The following is a 19,885-nucleotide window of genomic DNA, read 5'->3' on the forward strand; positions in this document are numbered from 1 at the left end:
ATCTGAGACATAACATATGTGGCTACTTTAAGTGCCCTGGTCCTAACTACAATATTAGCACTAAAGGGCTGCCCCTCTTGACCCTATTTGAGACTTGAAAGAAATAAACAGCTTTTTCCTGCCTCTTGGAGAATGTACTCTATTTATGAACAACCCAAGATTTTTCCTCACTCTTGGACATATCCATTCTAGGTCAAGAGCTGATCCTAAGAGTTTCAGGCGATGCTGCATACTGTGTGGAATTTAAAATCCTGTACAATTAATGGTATTTAGAGGGAAAATGGAAAGTAAAATTGGTTTGCTGGCCACAAATGCTTTTCACATCATCATCAACTACTCTCTGTTTCCCTTACTCTCTTTCACTCCCCTTACAGCTGAGTGCTGTTGAATAGAATCAAGAAAGTATCATGACACAGTCCACTGCAAATTGATACTCTCATGTAATATCTCTGCAGAGACCACTGCTAGGCAACAAAGGCAGCCATCCATTAAAATGTTGTCCAAAAGGGTTATTTCAGAAATTTCAATCACTCTCAAACCTCGGGTTAGCTGTCCTCATCAAGAGCTAACCTATTTCACAGACCAGACTGGGATCATTAAGCATAAACTTCCCTGCCTACCTCCCCTCCCACATAGAGATAGTGCTTTTCATTCTATCCATTTTCTCCTCCAAGAGAGTGAGAGGACATTTTTCATGTATGCTCAGATATTCCACTTGGCCTGCCATGTAAGTTCTCATTTAGTAAGTATATGATCTGCTCGTCAGCTAAAACTGAAGCCAGCTTCAAGCAAAACAAAACCCCACACTTCAAAAAACAAAACCCAAAACAAAACAACAAGACAAATTGTTTGCAATCATGAGCTATTTTGACAGCAAAAGAACCCCGTCTGGTAGCCTTAGATTAAAGGCTCTACATGGAGTCAAACTGTAAGCTAAGAAATCCCAGAAACCAATAGGGCTTGGCTAGTTTCTAGTGGAAACACACAGGCCTTCTACTCTGTTTACCTCTGCTTAGCATATTCTATTGTTCCCTGCTCATTGCCCAATATTCCTCAGTGTAAATTCCAGAGAGAGGCAAACTCTTTGACTTAACTAGTTGCCTTTGTCCTTATTGGACAAGTTCCTTCATGTGAAGCCACAGTGGATTTCGTTGCCCAGCCGTATTCTTATCATAGGCCACCCTTTCACAGAAAAATAGCCTAGAGCTTCTTCTGTGAACTTTGAGCTGTGAGGGAAGTCTTAGGAGGGGCCATTAGGCAGAATAGGCACAGTGACCATCCAACAGGTACAACTTTGAAGCCGTTGGAAATGTGGATGGCATCCCGAGAGTGCACCTGGCCTCCACATCATGGACACAGGAGCCAGAATCCCTGCACCACTGAGGGTTTGCAGACTCAATTTCAGAAATTCTTTGTTCCCCTCATTCCTCATTTATTTCTCACGGCTAGGGTGTGAGACAAGACTCTTTATGCTCAAATGTCTTAAAACATAGTTCAATGATTTTATATCTTTTTTCTCTTCAAAACTGAGAAATAGCATGAGATGGAAATGCAAATCCTTGTATACTTTTATCATTAAATTTTCTTATTTTTTTTACTGTGATGCGAACTGTGGTTACAATTCCACAAATAAGAGCCAATGTTTTCCTTTGTCTTAGCTTAACAATTGATACCTACAGAAATAAACACTACCAAGGGGAGATAGGGACACAGAACCAAGAGAAAATAACAATCAAGAAGTCCAGCTTTTCCTAAATAAGAAAGCAGATTCAAAGGAAAATGTAAATTAAAACAAGTAGAAATTTCTCCTCTCATTGTGAAAGTCTCCCATTATTTTTAGTTATAATAACAAACCTGAACTAAATTAGCTTTATAAACTATTTTTAACTGCAGATATAACCACTTATAATATCTGTACTTCCTAAGTTGCACGGCCCAGTCACATTCATTATGATGTTTGATAGTGTGCTTGCTGTTCTTAATTTCTGCAGTAGGGGAAATGCTGTTTTTGAATTATATGAATTAAACTGAGAATTTGCCTAAATTGCCTAAATTCCAAGTCAGGATACACCTTAGCTATTAAGCTTTGAAAAAAGATATCGTAAACTCTTCAGGAGACTATCAGTCTAAAGGTTAAAAGCATTTGAAAAGTTTAATGTACCCACCAAGAGTACCAGAAATCATTACTGAAAAAAGATGAATAGTCCAGATGGCGCTGTTTCCCAACAGCTGTTTTATGCACAACAGCGCTGTGTACCTGTTAATCCCCATTGATATTTCTGACCCTACGCATTGCATACAATTACTATATACCAGTGATTTAACAAGCAATTAGGCTACAATCGTTTACTATTTTAAAACATATTTTTCACATTTTAAAGATTTTTATTAGCACCATTTATCACTATTGATTTTTCTTTACTGTTGCATGTTAAGATTTATTTTTTTTGCTTTGCATACAACTTCCTTTTAATATCATTAATAAAATAAAATGGCTTTGGGAGTGGGAACTGAAAACTGGAATATCATTTCACTGGCATATCACTTTATTCATAGTAAGACTAGCCCATCAACCCTTCCCTGGTTCCTTGATTCAGTTTGTTCTGATTTGGTCACTTTCATAAGGCATCTATCTAAAAAGGTAAAAGAATGATCCACTCCCAGCCAAGTCCACAGAGCCTAAAACTCTTGTTTGAATGCAGTTTGGTGCCTGTGATGACATTTACGTAAGACTAGCTGAACTTGTAGCATGAATTCTGAAGACTTGAAACCTCAACTTGGAAAACAACAAAGACCTTTAAGTTTGTTAGTCTTTAAGCCATATCTAAACTGTAAAGCAGGAAAAGGGGATGGGGAGAAGAAATAAAATAAGAAAATAAACACTAAAGATGCTGCTTGTTCTTATCCTTACCTAATATCTCTCTTGTAGGAGTTCAAGAGAGCACCACAAGTCAGTTTCCTTTGAACAATAAATTTATACATTCATTTTCTCTTGTATCCCTCTTTGTATAGTTTGCTACCTTTTAGACTCATATGCATTTATTTCTTTACTCATTGGTAGTAGATTTTCTGAAATAATATTTGCTTAATACTATTTAATTTCCAAAGACTTTTCCTACTTTATCTAATTTCATCCTATCAATGATCCTGGGAAATGGCATGGCTTAGCAATCAGTTATGTTTTATAAATACAGCAATTGAGTCTCCTGAAGTCATTCAACAATGACTTTCTTGAGATCACTGGCATGAGTCACCAACTGCATTTTATAGATGCAACAGTTGAATATCCTAAAATTGTTCAACAATTACTTTCTTGAGATCATGGGTAGACCTAGTGAGTACAGATTAGAACAAGGTTTATTTCTTGCATAATGAGCGCTCTTCCCAGGACACAACTATGCCAAATCATGTGGAAAAAAGTTCTGCATATGGAACTCTTAATGTCCTGACTGTCAGATAAATATAAATGTTCTTTAACTTTAGTGTCTTCAGATTAGTTGAAAGACCATCATAAGAAAAACATCTACATGCTTATAGCTGTGTTTCTCAAATTGGCATACCACGCTATCAAAGCCCCAAGGATTCATGTGACATATCCTTTTTAGTATCTTATTTTGTTTAAAGGATTAGAATATAAACTGTAAAGTTTGGAGTCAAATGTGTACCTACACATTACATACATGTGCAACCAAAATCATCATGTGCTTTTTCCATGTGTGCAATTTTGAATTTTTAAGAATAAAAGTGCATAGAAATGAATTGTTTTATCATGTACCCAGAATACATTAGCAATGATTGTCACTGAGCTCATTTAGGAATAGTAAATTTTTTTGCTTAAAAAATATGTGTTTGAATACTTAGTGCAGTATGAATTTGTAGTAAAATAGGAATTATCCGAAAGCATACTCATAAGCTTAAGTAAAAGAAAGCACTGGTCATATATTTCAGAGATTACAAATTCAATGCCGAACTACTGATTTTCTTTATGCGATAAAAGAAACTATGACAAAGTTTTATTAATTCATTGTTCCCCTTGAATGATTAAGAGTGACTTGTAAAGCTGGACACTCAGTCAGTAACTTCAATACAAAAAACAAAGTAATGTGTTTCTTGCACATGCCAGAATACTGCAATGAAATGAAGTTTGAGATTTAGATGAAGAAATTTGTTCATGGGGAGTCAGTCAATTGCAACTCTTCCTGTATTTATATATTATGAACTTACAGTATCAGTGGTAAAATAAAGAATGTTCTCATGCAAATTCCTTCACAGAAGCCTTATGAGAAATATTTTCCTGTGACTATTAAAGAGACTGACCATTGAAACAGTTATTCTATCCAACTGCCAAATATATGAACAATTTAAACTGTAAATTGAAATACGCTGTCATAGAAATCTCCATCAGGTGTTGCCTAAGAACCTTGGTTCAACTGCCAATGGCATCGTAGTCATCTCTCCTCAATGCTTAGTCTGATGTAGCTCATAAAGCAGCGAAAAATGTTTGCCATTTGTAGTCACATATCAACATAAATGTGAATTTATATTTAATTTGAGAAAAAATAATCTGCCTAGATGCTGAACCTGACACAGAAGATCAGAGCTCTGGATTCAACTCAGTTTTCTGAGACTGATAGACTCAATTGCCCATTCACACACACAGTGCTAAGAAACCTGTTAGAAGCAATTGTTTCTGATGATAAGCAATTAAAATATTTAGTTTGTATAAAAAGTGCATGTATTATGAAGTAGAATACAATGTATACACATTTTTTAAGATAGGACCTAAGGCTTAAGAAATTTTATGCTTATTATAGGTCCCTTTAGACTATGTTCCTTGGCAGCTAGAAATATGTTACATTTTTTTTACCTAAGGGTTATTTCTATGTAAAAATCAAAGGTTCATTGTCTTAGTACCTTTGATCCACCTGAGAATTCCACAAGTTATTGGCTTATTTTTCTCTGAAAGACAAAATTGAATTATTGTTTGCTTTTTAAAATCCACAGTGAGAGCAAAGACTAAGGAATCAGATAAACATGAGTAGAATTCTTCAGTTACTACTTCTTAGTTGATGTCACCTTTGGTATGCATTTAACTTCTCCTGGTCATTTTCTTATCTATTGCTGAAATAATTGGACTGCTCTTCTCTAAGGATGAAAAGATTAACATGAAGCATTTAGTGTACTACCTGCCAAGGGATATATACTTCCTCAGGGCAGAAATTTGGTTTCTCTTCTTTACCTCCCAGCACATAGAATAGTGCCTAGCAAGGGAGAGTTAAAAGTGTTTATCAAGACTGCTTGGAGACTTCCCTTAGGAAACTTAAGAGCTAAAATCCTCCCAGCTGCTGCTTTATTCCTGTAATATAAGGATAATCCAAAGCATAATCCTGCTAATGCTGCCATTAAACAAAATAAATCAGGGAGCTATTACTTGGATAAATTAGATCCTCACAGAGGCCTGAAACCGACTACACTCAGAGCCCCAGTCCCAAGTCCAATTACAGTTAACAGCACTGTTTTGTCTGACCCGTTAAGTCTGACACCTGAGAGATAGGAGATGGATTTGAGTGAAAGTCTGCCCCCAAACCATGGGCTGACCATAAAGTCTCACCCTTCATCTTCAGACTTCTTACATCCTAACTGTTGGGCAATGTAAGAATAAGGTATGGGCATAGTTGAGATTTTTGTGAGGGTGAGTTCATCAAAACTTAACATTTATGATTCACAAAACTTAAAACTGATATCTTCATGAGAAGTGAGTGCATGCTGTCACCCTAAAGCTTTTCACTCCAGCAAATAAAATGTGTTCAGTAAATGTTTGTTGGATCGATGTTCAATGAATGAATGGTAGAGTCTCCATAAATCATGATTAATATTATACTCCTGCTATTATCCTCATGTCTTTAAAGTGCTGATGAAGAAATAATGTTTTGTACTGCACTGTGCACCTGTAAATTCATAAGTGCAAACAACATCTTTAGAAATGGTGAACACTGGGATGAATAATGGGATCAGAGTCATATTTTAACTTTCTTAGCAAGTTTTGGCCTAACTTGATGTATAATAGTGGAAAAATTTGGAATTTATTCAAAAAAGTTTAAGACCAGAACAAGATAAATGGCCTTGAATCTTTATGAAATTGAAGGGAAAATTATTAAACATAATTGAAGTACATTTTTAACATTGAGGACATGGCAGATTAGTTGTAAAGAAGGCATTGCATGATCACTTTGATAGATGCCAACCCAGAAAAGTCATACTGGATTACATTCAACATCCATTCCTCCTGGAAAGTTTTAGTACACTCAGAATAGATCCAAGCTTAGATAAGCATCATACTTTCAAAAGTTAAAAATGATAAGCATTCTTATTAATGGTGGGGAAAAGATAGTATCTTCTATATTGATAATAAAGCTCTCTAATTAAACTTTGTTATGAAGTTATTTTTTCAAGTGAATAATACAATAATTAATACGATCCCAGAGAATTGACACACACACACACAAACAAATCAAAATAACAAGAATTTAGTAAAATAAGTGGTTACAAAGTAAACATTTAAGACTCAGTACTTTAAAAATTAAAAAGAAAATATATGATCACCTAAATAGATACAGAAAGTGTAGTTAATAAAATGTAGAACCATTCATTTAGGAAAAAAATAGAAATAGAAAAGAATGTCATTAACGTATAGCTAAAAACCTACAGAAAACATTACGCTTAACAGTAAACATTGAAAGTTTTTCCTTTGTAATCAGGAACACACCAAAAATGGTTGCTATCACCACTTCCATTTAATATTGAAGTGGAAGTTTCTTAGCAGTGCAGAGTGACAAAAACAGCCACTACCATTATTTGCAGGTTACATGACTGTGTACATACAAATTTCAAAAGAATATGCATATGTTGTTAGAATTAATAAGAGTTAAAGATCTACTCATATATTATCAAATATGAATTAAAAGTTAGTACAAGATAGCATTTATGCCATACAAAATATGCCAAACCAAAGAATAACTCCAACAAAAAATATGCAAGACCAAACTAAATAGAACGATATACCACATTCGTGAACTGAATGTCTTAATACTACAGAGATGTTAATATTCTCCAAATTGATTTCTAATTTACATACAGTACATTCAAAATCCTTACCTATTGGTTTTGTGTGTGGGTGAACTTGATAAGCTAATTCTAAAATATATTTAGGAGGCCAAAGGGCCTAGAATAGTGAAGAGCCCCCTAAAGAAAATGAGGTAAAATAATCATTCTTCTGGATTTCAAGATGTACTATAAAGTTCCAGCTATTTAGGATAGTATAATACTGACACAGAGATAGACAAAGAGATAAATGCAACAAAACGAGGAGGCCAGAAACAGTCTTGTGTATATACAGACCCTTGGTTTTGGACAAAGTTAAACAGTAAAGAAAAAAATGTCTTTGCAAGTTAAAAAATTGTTACATTAAACATTGTTCATCCCTATTTGGAGAAACCATATAGCCATTTAAAAATATGATTTAATGCTATGTTCTGAATTAGAAAGATTGTTCAGTCATTCAACAAATATTTTTGGATCACTTACTATGTACCAGTTACTATTAATTTTTCCCTGTAAAATATATTATTAAGTTAACAAAAACAAATTGCAACATTACATACAATTGTGATTCTTCTCTAACTCTCATCTCACACAAAGTCAAAGTTCTTATGCAATTGTGCCCTTTAGGTCTTTGATTCCCTTCTTTCTCTACTGACTTTGTGTCAGCCACACTGCTGCTCATTAAACACTCTAGTCATTCATCTGCCTCTGAGCTTGTGGACTAGCTGTTGCTTCTGCCTAAAATGCATTTCATCAGAATTCCCATGGCCTACTTTCATGGCAAGTTAAGGTCTTTGTCAAATCATTCAGCTCATCTTTCAGTGAGATGAGCACTTTTCAGTGGGCATCCTATTTAAAACTGTAAAGCTATTATCTACCCCCATACTTCCTCTCCTTATTTCCTATTTTCTTTTATAATACATATTACTTTATCAAATTCTATATTTTTACTTGATTAATTACCATCAGAATTTTAGATTATACAAACTCTAAAAGGGCGAAAAACTTCCATCTCTTCTGTTCATTGCTAAATCCCATCACCAGAATAGTACCTGGCATACAATAGGAATAAGGACAATGTGTGTGTCTATGTGTTTGCATGTCTGTATGTTTGCATGTCTCTGTGTTTGCACAAATATATAGAGAAAGTTCAAAAAAGAATGATGTCAAACTGCTTACAGTGGTTATTTCTGGGGAGGAGCACTGGCCTCCTGTGGAGAAAAGAAAAAGGGAACCTTCCACATTTTACTTTATATTTTCCTGTGTTGCTTGAATTATATATGCTAAAATGCCAAGTTTTTAAATGTCCCTAAATCTCTTACATACAACAGGCAAATCAACCAGGATAGCAAAATCCAAAAGCTTGGACAACATTTATGACAAAACTAGGCAACAAGGTATACCCTAAGAACCATACAATAAAAGCAGGTGGAGGCAAACCATTAAATTACAAGATTTGTGTCGTATGAGCATTTGGACAGAAGGAAGCTAAGGGAAACCACAGGTACTCTGGCTGACCTGAGAGCAGTACTCCAAAAGAGTCAACAGTTATTTGTTGGAAGCTGAGCAGGCTAATTTGAGAAAAGCAGTTGAAATTGGAAGTACTTTTTGCATACTCTATTTCACAGGCAAGGGTGAGGGTTCTGTGGCAAATATAAAAATATTAGGCAATCTATGAATTCTCAACTGGGGCTTTCTTCCAAAAAAAAAGGTCTCTCTCACACTGAAGAGAAACTGTTGGACATATAATCCAAATTGCATGGACAAGAGATAATATTAGCAAAGGGAAAATCAAAGTCCAGAAAAAGTTGGAGGGAGGAGATCAAAGGAGAAATATCTCAGAATGTATTGTATGAAATTATATATATATATATATATATATATATATATATATATATATATATAGAGAGAGAGAGAGAGAGAGAGAGAGAGAGAGAGAGAGAGAGAGACAGTTTTGCTCTTGTTGCCTAGGCTGGAATGCAGTGGCCCAGTCTCGGCTCACTGCAACCTCCACCTCCCAGATCCAAGCAATTCTCCTGCCTCAGCCTCACAAGTAACTGGGATTACAGGCATCTGCCACCATGCCTGGCTAATTTTTTGTATTTTTAGTAGAGATGGGGTTTCACTGGTCTCAAACTCCTGACCTCAGGTGATCCACCGGCCTCTGCCTCCCAAAGTGCTGGGATTACAGGCATGAGCCACCGCACCTGGCCAAAATAATTTTTTTTTAATCACTATGTGACAGCAACAGATAGGAAAGCCCCAGACCGTAAAAAATCCTCTACTCCTTCCTGAAAGTTCAGGAATACTCATTTTATATAAAAATGAACAAGAAAAGTGACCATGGTTGAAAGTCATATAGAATTATAACAAGAAAAAGATAAATAAGAAGCAAAATAATATCCTTAAAAAAAGTGGGCCAGAAAGACATGCCCACCAAAAAGATAAACTGTATCCTTATATTTAATTGAGATAAAAGAAATGAAGAAAATGATAAATATGTGAAGGAACAACATAGACCACAATTAGGAAACCTCAGAAAGGAAGTGACTGAACCCAAGAAAGAATTAGAAATAAAAGAAAACATGATTTTACAAACAATAAGCTAGAAGAGACATGGGAATAAACAAACACAACAAAACACACAATGCCTCAAGAGAGAAGGTAAAAACAGAGAGGACTTTTAAAATAAAAAAGAAATAAAGGCACTGAAGATCCAATGTACATATAATAGTAGTCCCTGAGAAAAAGAAAATGAAATAATATATAAAACTATATCAAAACTAAATAGCATATTTAGTATTTTAACAAATACTAAGACTATAAGAAAAAAATTTCAAAAGTGAAAGGATTTGAAATTACATATTGAAAGGGCACTATTTAAAAAAATGACCCAGAAAAACCAATACAGAAGCATGTTTTAGAAAAACTACTGAACTTTGCAGAAAGAGAAACTTCCTTTAAGCATGTAGGCAGGAAGACTAACTCACTTATATGGTAAACAATTTACTATGTCATCAGAGTTTTGAACAGTAATCCTTTATTCCAGAAGAAAATAGAATAGCTTTATGGCACTCAAAAAGAAAATGTGAGCTAATGATGTTATATCAAGGCAAACTAACTTTCAAGTATAAAGGCCACAGACCAACTGTTGTCAGCTTACAAGAATTCAGAAACTTATTTCCTTGAGCACTTCTTAAAGAATTTACTGGAACATGAGTTTCAGATAATCAAAGTGACTGTAGAGATGTGGGCACAAAGACTGGTAGAGAGTTTAAAATTAAGTGAAGGTTATAAGAGAAACTGCAAAGTGTGTTTAGTATACATACTATATGATAGAGTTCAATTGTACTATACGGTACAGTTCAATTGTACTATACAATCGTAGGTCAATAAAAAAATGGAGGTGGGTTTAGACAGGCATACTGGCACATGCCTCTAACCCTAGCTACTCAGGAAGCTGAGGAGGGAAGATCCTTTGAGCCTAGGATTCAGAGGCTGTAGTGAGCTACTATCTCACCACTGTATTCCAGCCTGGGTGACAGAGTAAGACCCTATCTCTGAAAATAAAAAAAGGAAGTAGGGGCTAGGAAGCACAAATTAAAAGTAGAATAAGCATACTGTTTGCTTTATGGTATTAACTGAGTTTAAAAGGGTAATATCACAAGTCAGATACTGGAGAAAAGGGAACGAACAGTATGAAAAAAGAAGCTATTAGCTGATTTCAATATTGCTCTCAACAGAGAATGAATTAAAAATAAAAAAAGAAGAGGTAAAGGAAAATATAGAAATAAATTATTACACCATTAGAATGCAAACTTTCTTAAATACAAAAAAAAACCTTTAAAAAGCAGAGACAACAAAAATAAAAACACCAAAAACAAAGGAAAACAAATCAAAGAATGAAAAATATTTAATATAAAATACGTGTCTGTTAAATATAGTATTTAAGTATGCTACCTTTTTTAAAGATAGAAAAACATAAAAATATACAAAAATAAAATTTAAATTAAAAATTAAACAATGAAAGTTGAGCCATAAGTGTTAAAACTGTTTACATATAAGGAAAGGGAAAGAATAGGGTAGAAAGTATGGGAATAGCTACTAGGCTTCTTGGAATTTGCGTTACTTCTGGAATGTTGTAAATACTTTTAATAATTATAAGCTGGAATTAAATTTTTTAAAAATTCCCCCAAATAAACAACAAAATCTTTTTTTGTTGTTGTTGTTTTTGAGACGGAGTCTCGCTCTGTCACCAGGCTGGAGTGCAGCCGCAGGATCTCGGCTCATTGCAAGCTCCGCCTCCCGGGTTCACGCCATTCTCCTGCCTCAGGCTCCCGAGTAGCTGGGACTACAGGCACCCGCCACCACGCCCGGCTAATTTTTTTGTATTTTTAGTAGAAACAGGGTTTCACCGTGTTAGCCAGGCTGGTCTCGATCTCCTGACCTCGTGATCCGCCCGCCTCGGCCTTCCAAAGTGCTGGGATTACAGGCGTGAGCCACCGCGCCGGGCCACAACAAAATCTTTTTAAAACGTAGTCACACAATATAGCAACTACAGTTTTATATTTCATCACAAGAGTTTCTTGTATGTTTATTTGCTAACAACTCCAGATGCAAACTTGAAGTTTATACAAATAACGTTTAATTGTTGGGCTCCAAATAAACATACATGGTTCTTGGCTTTTTCCCCTCATACTGACAAACACAAGGAAACAGATCATAAATGAAATGAGTAGATGCAGAGGAGTGTCACTCACTATCTTTTCTTTTACATTTCTCTAGGAAAATAAAGGAAAGTCTGGAGTGTTTCCCTGTTAAATTGAATAACTTGATCCACACACTTGCACAAATGTCAGCCATAAGCCCTGCCAAATCTACTTCACAGACTTTTCCTCAGGAATCCTGTTTGCTGAGTACAACTAGGTCGATTGAAAGAGCAACAATTTTAGGGTTCAGCAAGAAATCCAGTAATGTAAGTTTAAAGTCCGTCATCTTGACTTACGTATCACTTGACTTTATCTCAGACTTCTCTTCACTATGCTACACAGCCTTTCTTATAGCATAATTTTTTACTAAGCAAATGAAAAATAATTTACAATTTAAGCAGAAGTGTCATTAAGAGGATGTTCCAAGGAAAAATCATAACAACAAGACTATGAGTAGAGAACCATCAAAGAGAACAATTCCTGCCCTGTGGTAGAGTATAAATCAAGAACTAATTAAAATGTCCACAAGAACAGCAAAAATTAGGCAATCTGTTCCTAGCACATACAATTGTGATACTCTTAGATATTATTTATATTTAATTTTGCCTTTACAAAATGCATCTCCTAGCTTTTATGATAATGTTTTGCAGAAAGGTACTTCCTTTGTTTGGTTTACATAAAATCGGGTTTTAGAGTGTATCACAGGCTGATATTGCCATCTTTTGATTTCTATCTATTTACTTTCTGCAGCTGTATCTGATCCAGGTGACACACAGCAACAACGAAACAAGCCTGACAGAAAAATCATTTGAGCAGTTTTCAAAACTTCACAGCCAACTTCAGAAGCAGTTTGCATCACTGACTCTCCCAGAGTAAGGCACTGTCCTTTTACATTGTTTTGCCTTCAGTACTTGTCCTTGAGCAAAAAGAAAAATTATGGTTATGGGATTTTCTATTTGTGAGAAACACAGTATTCTGACTCCAATGCCATTGAATCTATCCCAGCAGAGAGTCTGAATTGCTCTCAGAGTGAAGAATCTTTTGTCTCATAAAACAGAACAAGATTTGCAATTTTCTTTTTACTTCCAGTCATTGATTTTGTAGACAGACAATTTCAAAAGCTACTTCGTTTTTCTTCGATTATTGGGAAAATAGTCTCATTTGCCTGTTTTTAATTTAATCCTCTTAGTTATTTTTTATAAAAATACAATTGAAATTGAAATTGCAGAAGAAAATTGGATATGTTTACTTTTTCAACAAATAACTGTAATATAAAGCCTATATATACACATAGGCTTATTAATATACATATTTAATTATATATAATTATATATGCTTATTATATATTTAATTTCAATACCAGAAAAAATGTAAATGTATTTATATCAATTCATATGTTACTAACTCATTTTGTGCCATTGATTTTTAACTTTTAAATTATTAACTTGCATTATCTAAATTGAATTTGTTATTTTGTTCATTTTGAAGCCATCTTGAAAATCATTATTTTCATTTATGTTGTAATGGAAAAATGTTAAACATAAGCAAACTAAAAATATCATTAAAATAACTGCTGTTCAAATAACCCTTCAAAAATTCATCACTTAGAAGCAGTCAAATTTTGATCATAGACTTCAGTCTATAAAAAAGGTGTATCTTGATTTTAAAAATGTGAGCTTTCCAGAAATCATGATATTGCATTTAGGTTAATCAGATGTTTTATCTACAGTGAGATTTTTGTTAAGTAAAGTAAATGGTCCTTTTATGATGTAATTGTTTATACTTTACCTGGCATACTTGATACATGTGGATTTTTACTCGGCTTTCAGGATTTAGTCACCTTCCAAAATATAAATATAAGCAAAGTTAGTGCATAGGGAGATATTGCACAATATTAAAAATTGAGTAGTTCACATTCATGAAAAAAAAAACTGTACTGGCATATGTAACAGGGATTTTTGAAATTCAGATGCTTTGAGCATCAGGAAGTCCAGAAATTAAGAGCATACTCAAGAGACTGAGAGGGAGGCAAAGTCATTCTGGCAACTTTTAGAAGGAACATCAAGTTTTAGAATTATCACAAAATCTGATAGAATAACTGAAAAAAAGAGACACAGGCAAAAAAAAGCTCAACGTTTGGCTGCAAATACCACATTCAACATCAATGTTTGCCATGATACCCTACTAATTAATAATTGAGAAGAATATGTTAATCTTTGTTTAACGGCTATCCTTTTTTGGTTTCAAAAATGTCTCTGTTCTACACTGTACCTCACCAATACATATCAGTATAACTTGTAAAACTTTAAAAATTCTAATAATCTATCTCAATTGGCCTCTTTTCAGTTTTCAGCTTTTGTTAGGATTCTGCTTTGCTCATTACTGCTGCCTGGAGGTTCTTACATTGATTTTCAAACTGTGTAAGCAACCTGTGGAGGCAAGGAACATTTTGTCCTATGTTCCCTGAACACTGTTTGCATGCTGACACTCACAAAGGGGCCCAGGCTTACAGTGATGCACATAAATGAAAGATGAAGATTCCCTATGACTTCTAAAATTACTGAGAGAAGCCCTACGAGAGTTATGTAAATGTCATCTGGAAGGCATGATCAGAAAGTCAGAGTCATGAAGAATGAAATTCTAATCAGTTCATACCATCTAACAGTGGACTTCAAATCAGCTATTTGTGTTTCTGGGTAACTTCCAGGGGTACACGACATGAAAATATTCCTTAAAATTAATAATCTTTTTTAGAAAAGTAATATGCTTGGCGAGAGTTGACTTTCTTCTCCCAACCATCCAAAATTTTATTTTGGTACACTGATCAGGCTATAGAAACTTCTGAGGACAAGACAAAAGGGCAAATCAAAATATTGGTGTTGGTATTGAGAAAATGAATTACTCTAATAATGAAATATCAAATCAAATCTTTGTCAGATGTTTTCTAATCTTTGTTGTGAATGAAATTGAGGGAGGATATGATGATACTGTCAGACAAAAGGTCATTAAAAAGTAATTTTCAATAACTGCTGTATTTGACATATAACTCGAAGAAGTTTCAATTAAATGACAGTATTATAGAACCATTCCTCAACTTTCATGTACTCATTTATACATAAGATGTTTTAGTACATATATCTATAAAAATATTAACAAAATAGCAGAATTGACGTAGACTTCTGTTTTGTTCTATCAACAAGGAAAACTCACACGGACATGTGAATTAATACTTAAAACCAGCCTAATCTCTCATTTATCAAATTCATTTCTCCCAAAAAAACTATGCATATATGGATATGTAGAATATAGATCTATCTCTCTACCTACCTATCTATCTATCTTCTATGCTATATGCTCAATTGATTGTATACTGGTACTAATTTTCATGATTAAATTTGGATAAAAATTTTAAAGACTTTTAAGTCTTAGGGTCTGCAAGAGACTTAAAAAAATAAAATGTTCATTGTTAAAATATACAAGCATAGAGTTTTGGACTTTCCTGACATTTCCAACAGTAATCAGTGGGGTGGCATGAAATTATCACATACATCTTTATCTTTGCTGACTGTCCTTTACTATCCTCCATGTTCATTTCCCCTCCAAGCATGGTAGCCAAGCCGTGGTTCCTACCAAAGAAGCAGAAGTGTGGATGAGGCAGCAGTATGATTGGAGTCAGAGGAGGCTGCTAGGTAGTTCCTAAAAGGGTATACGTAGACAGCAAGATATGTTACCAAATGCTACCCATTACCAGTCATCCCACCTAATAATTGGTCTTAATGAAGTCCAACCCATCAAGATGAATCATCAGATTGTGCAAAGGAAATTCTGCAAATAGTCAGACTCTTGGGGAAAGTGTTACTATTTTCTAGAAGGCTAAGAGCAGATGGACGCATATGTCACTTGCTAAAATGCTTAATTTAGTTAGTGTAATGGTGTCTCTAGTGAACCCAGAAGAAACAATAGAATCTGAACCTTTTTAAAAATTTTGAACCATTAACTTCAGACAGTCTTTTTTTAAGACCCCACATATATTTAAAAGACAAAATGTGTGGTCTGCCATAAATATAGTAAGAAGGGACATATAAATGAATTTAATGTGTCAAATTAAATTAAGTTAGTATTAATATTAATGACCATTAATATGGCATGAATGACCACAGCCATATTAATAAAATTCTGAGGATTAATCACGTAGACTATGACTTTTTCAAATGTTTTCATTGGCCCTTCCATCTGATACAGCTGTAACTACATGAACAATCTTAAGATGAAAAGGCCAGTTTTCAAACTAATGAAGATAACTTTTTTTTCTCTTAAAACAGGTTTCCTCATTGGTGGCACCTACCTTTTACAAATTCAGATCACAGAAGATTCAGAGATCTAAATCATTACATGGAACAGATATTAAATGTATCACATGAAGTTACAAACGTATGTTATAATTAATTTTTCTATTTTTACATAAAACATCAACTATTTTATATTTTATTCGTGAGTGTGGTGGTTTATGTCTGTAATGCCAGTACTTTGGGAGGTCAAGGTGGGATGATTGCTTAAAGCCAGGAGTTTAAGTCAATCCTGGGCCACAAAACGAGACCTCATCTCTACAAAAAATTTTTCAAATTATCCAGGCATAGTGACACATGCCTGTAGTCCCAGCTATTCAGGAGGCTGAGGCAGAAGAATCATTTGAGCCCAGGAGTTGGAAGCTGCAGTGAGCTATGATAGTGCCACTGCACTCTAGCCTGGGTGACAGACCCAGATTCTGTCTCTAATAATAATAATATTTTATGATAACATTCTTTGGGTTCATTCATTCAATGAATATGTATGCCTAATTTGTATAAAATACATGAACTGAGAATTGTGGAGCAGCAAAACAAGTATAGAACCTTGACTTCAAATAACTTCAATGAAATAATATGTGATAAATGGACTATCAGTGCCGTGAAGTGCTCTAGAGTTTTAGAGGAGTAAGAATCATTCCCGATGCAATAATAAAGTTTCAAGGAGAAGAGGGCATCTGAGCCGAGCCTTTAACACTGAGTAGGATTAAACAGAGGTGGTCTGGGGAAGTGTCTCAACAATATAAGAAAATTTATGAGTGAGAAAAACCAAAAAGAAATAGTATTCTTAAAATTTGAATATGTTGCTGCTGTGACAAGTTACCACACACCTGGTGGCTTTAAACAGTACATATCAATTTTCTTTCAGTTCTGGAATTTAGAAGTCTGAAAAACAGGTTTTATGGAATTAAAATGAAAATGTTAGTGGGCTGGTTCTGGAATCTTTTCAATTTCTAGAGGCTGCTTGTGTTCCTTGGCTTGTGGCTCTCTTCCAGCGACACAGTGGCACACTTTGACCTCTGAGTGTGTCATCACATCTTCTTTGGCTCAAATTCTGACCCTCCTGCCTCCCTCTCAGAAGGGCTCTTGTGATTACACTGTGTCCATCTGGGCAATTTAGGATAATCTCACCGTCTCAGGATTCCTAATGTAATTTTATCTGCAAAGTCTCTTTTGCCATGTAAGGTAACATATTCAGTTTCCAGGGATTAGGACATGAACATCTTTTGGTAGGGGGTATTATTCTGCCTATCACGGGGATCTAAGAAAATGTGCAAGGACACAGCTCTGATGGATCTCAGCATTCTTGTGAGGTAAGAGTTTGGACGCCAAGCCCAAGTTGTTAGAAACTAAAACTAAGCCTTAGAGAGCTTGTTAGTCAGGGTTCTCTAGAGAAACTGAACCAACAAAATTGTGTGTGTGTGTGTGTGTGTGTGTGTGTCTGTGTGTGTGTGAGACAGAGAGAGAAAGAAAAGAAGAAATTTGTTTAATTGGCTCACATGATTGTGGAGGTGCAAATCCAAAATCTGTAGGGTGGGCTGGCAGGCCGGAGACCAGAGGAGATTATTTACCATCTGAGTCCCAAGACATTCTGCTCAGAGGTCAGTCTTTGTTCTGTTCAGGTATTCAATTGATTGGATGAGGCCTACCCATATTATGAAGAGTAATATGTTTTACTCAAACTCTGCCAATTTCAATATGAATCTCATCCAAAAAAACACTTTCACAGAAACATCCACAATAATGTTTGACCAAATACAGGGGCACTGTGACCCAGCCAAGTTGACAGACAAAATTAACCATCACAAGAGTCGTGAGGAACTAAAAACATTGTGAAGTACAATGCCCCTCACCACTTTGGTAGATCTTGGCCCTCCTTACTAGACTAGCACATTGTTCTTCTTACTATTTTTTTTCACTTTGAAATTGTAAAATGTAAACACACTCAGAAACATCCACAAAAGAAAATTGAACAGTTCAAGGGTAAATTATAAGAACACCCATGTAACCACGCAGTAGTTTCAAAACATGTCTGAAAATGCTTTGCCACCCTCCCATCAAGAGGAGGCAGCTTGTGTCCCAACCTCTTGATCCCAAGAGGGCTTCTGTCATTTGCTCATCAAATAGAATATGGTGGAAGTGACCCTTTATGACTTCCAAGATAGGTTAGAAAATGCCACGCACCTTCTAACAATTTCTTTTGGAATGGTCACTGCGGGAGCCTTCAGTTGCCATCTTTCAAGCTGACCTACCCTGAGTCTGCCCGGCAGAGAAACCAAAAAGATCAAATCCGAAGAGAGATATCTAAGGAACAGCAACTGTTCCAGTCCCCAGCTGGGACTCCATCCCCAACCACCAAATGATCACAGTTTCATCAGAGATCCCAAGCAGAACACCCAGCTGAGCCCTCTCGAACACCTGAACTAAGAGATAATAATAGAATGACTGGTTTTAGGCCAACAATGCAGTGATAGCCCATTTCCAAGGTTCATGGATTTTTATTGTTGTATAATATTTTATTATACAAATATATTAGAATTTATCTGTAGATACTTCTCTACATAGACTTTTGGAATGTTTCCAGTTTGGGGCTATTACAAACCATACTGTTATGAACATTCTTTCACATGCATGACTCAGTATCCCCATGTTGTTCCTATACCCAGGAATAGAATTTCCAGATTGTAGGATATACTTATTTCAACCTTATAATGACCAGTTTGTTCTCTCATTTGCAATAAATACATTTTCCAATTTTCTATACTTGGTCTTTTTAATCTTTTAAATTTGGGCCATTCTGGTTGGTGTGCGTCTCATTGAACTCTTAGCTTGCATTTTCCTGTTGCTATTGAGCTTGAACACTTTTTGATATGTTTTTTGGTCATTCGGATATCTTCTTTCATGAAGTGCCAGTTCATGTCTCTTTACCATTTTTCTATTGAATAATTTAATATTCATTTATTGATTCATTTCTTGGTTGAAATTGTTGGAAGGTGTATTTCTTCATATATTCTACTCTGTACCTTGTCCCTTTGCTCTATCATGTCTTCTGATGAATAGAAATGCTTAATTTTAATGAAGTGAAATGTATCAATATTTTCTTAGTAAGAACATACCCTACCTCAATGTCATAAATGTGTGAATCTTTTGTGGTGATCCATGATCAACGGCTCTTCTCCTTTATTCAGGTTTACAATGTGCCTTTCATGTAATACTTCTTTATCCATAAATAAAATGCACACTTTTTTTTTTTTTGAGATGGAGTTTTGCTCGTCACCCACGCTGGAGTGCAATGGCCTGATCTCGGCTCACCGCAACCTCTGCCTCCAAGGTTCAAGCAATTCTCCCGCCTCAGCCTCCCCAGTAGCTGGGATTACAGGCGCCCACCACCACACCCAGCCTATTTTTGTATTTTTAATAGAGACGGGGTTTTGCCATGTTAGCCAGGCTGGTCTTGAACTCCTGACCTCAGGTGATCCACCTGCCTCAGCCTCCCAAAGTGCTGGGATTACAGGCGTGATCCCACTGTGCCCAGCCTGAGATGCACACTTTATTAATACACACACTCAAGCAGCAAGTAGAGAACAAGAGAGAGAGGGCAAGGGACCTGTGGACCAAAGCCTTTATTGCAGTATAGGGCATTATCCAAGCAGGTTTCCCACAGGGAGTTCTAATTAGAGGATTTAGGGCAAGCAGGTGCAGGTTCTATAGAGTTGAATGGTGACTGAA

The 19,885-nt window shown here is 35.4% G+C and overlaps 1 protein-coding gene across 14 annotated transcripts in view; it reads left to right on the forward strand.

The window, feature by feature from the left end:
- PIK3C2G (phosphatidylinositol-4-phosphate 3-kinase catalytic subunit type 2 gamma) overlaps nt 1–19,885 on the forward strand; it is a 483,857-nt gene that overhangs the window by 307,856 nt on the left and 156,116 nt on the right. For all 14 annotated transcript variants that reach the window (XM_047429007.1, XM_017019471.2, XM_047429008.1 and 11 more), the window contains 3 exons: nt 11,887–12,076; nt 12,561–12,682; nt 16,133–16,241. In XM_047429007.1, the coding sequence (XP_047284963.1) occupies nt 11,887–12,076; nt 12,561–12,682; nt 16,133–16,241 (421 nt within the window). The remainder of the gene's footprint in view (nt 1–11,886; nt 12,077–12,560; nt 12,683–16,132; nt 16,242–19,885) is intronic.

This window comes from Homo sapiens, chromosome 12, assembly GCF_000001405.40.
Source record: "Homo sapiens chromosome 12, GRCh38.p14 Primary Assembly".
NCBI lineage: Eukaryota > Metazoa > Chordata > Mammalia > Primates > Hominidae > Homo > Homo sapiens.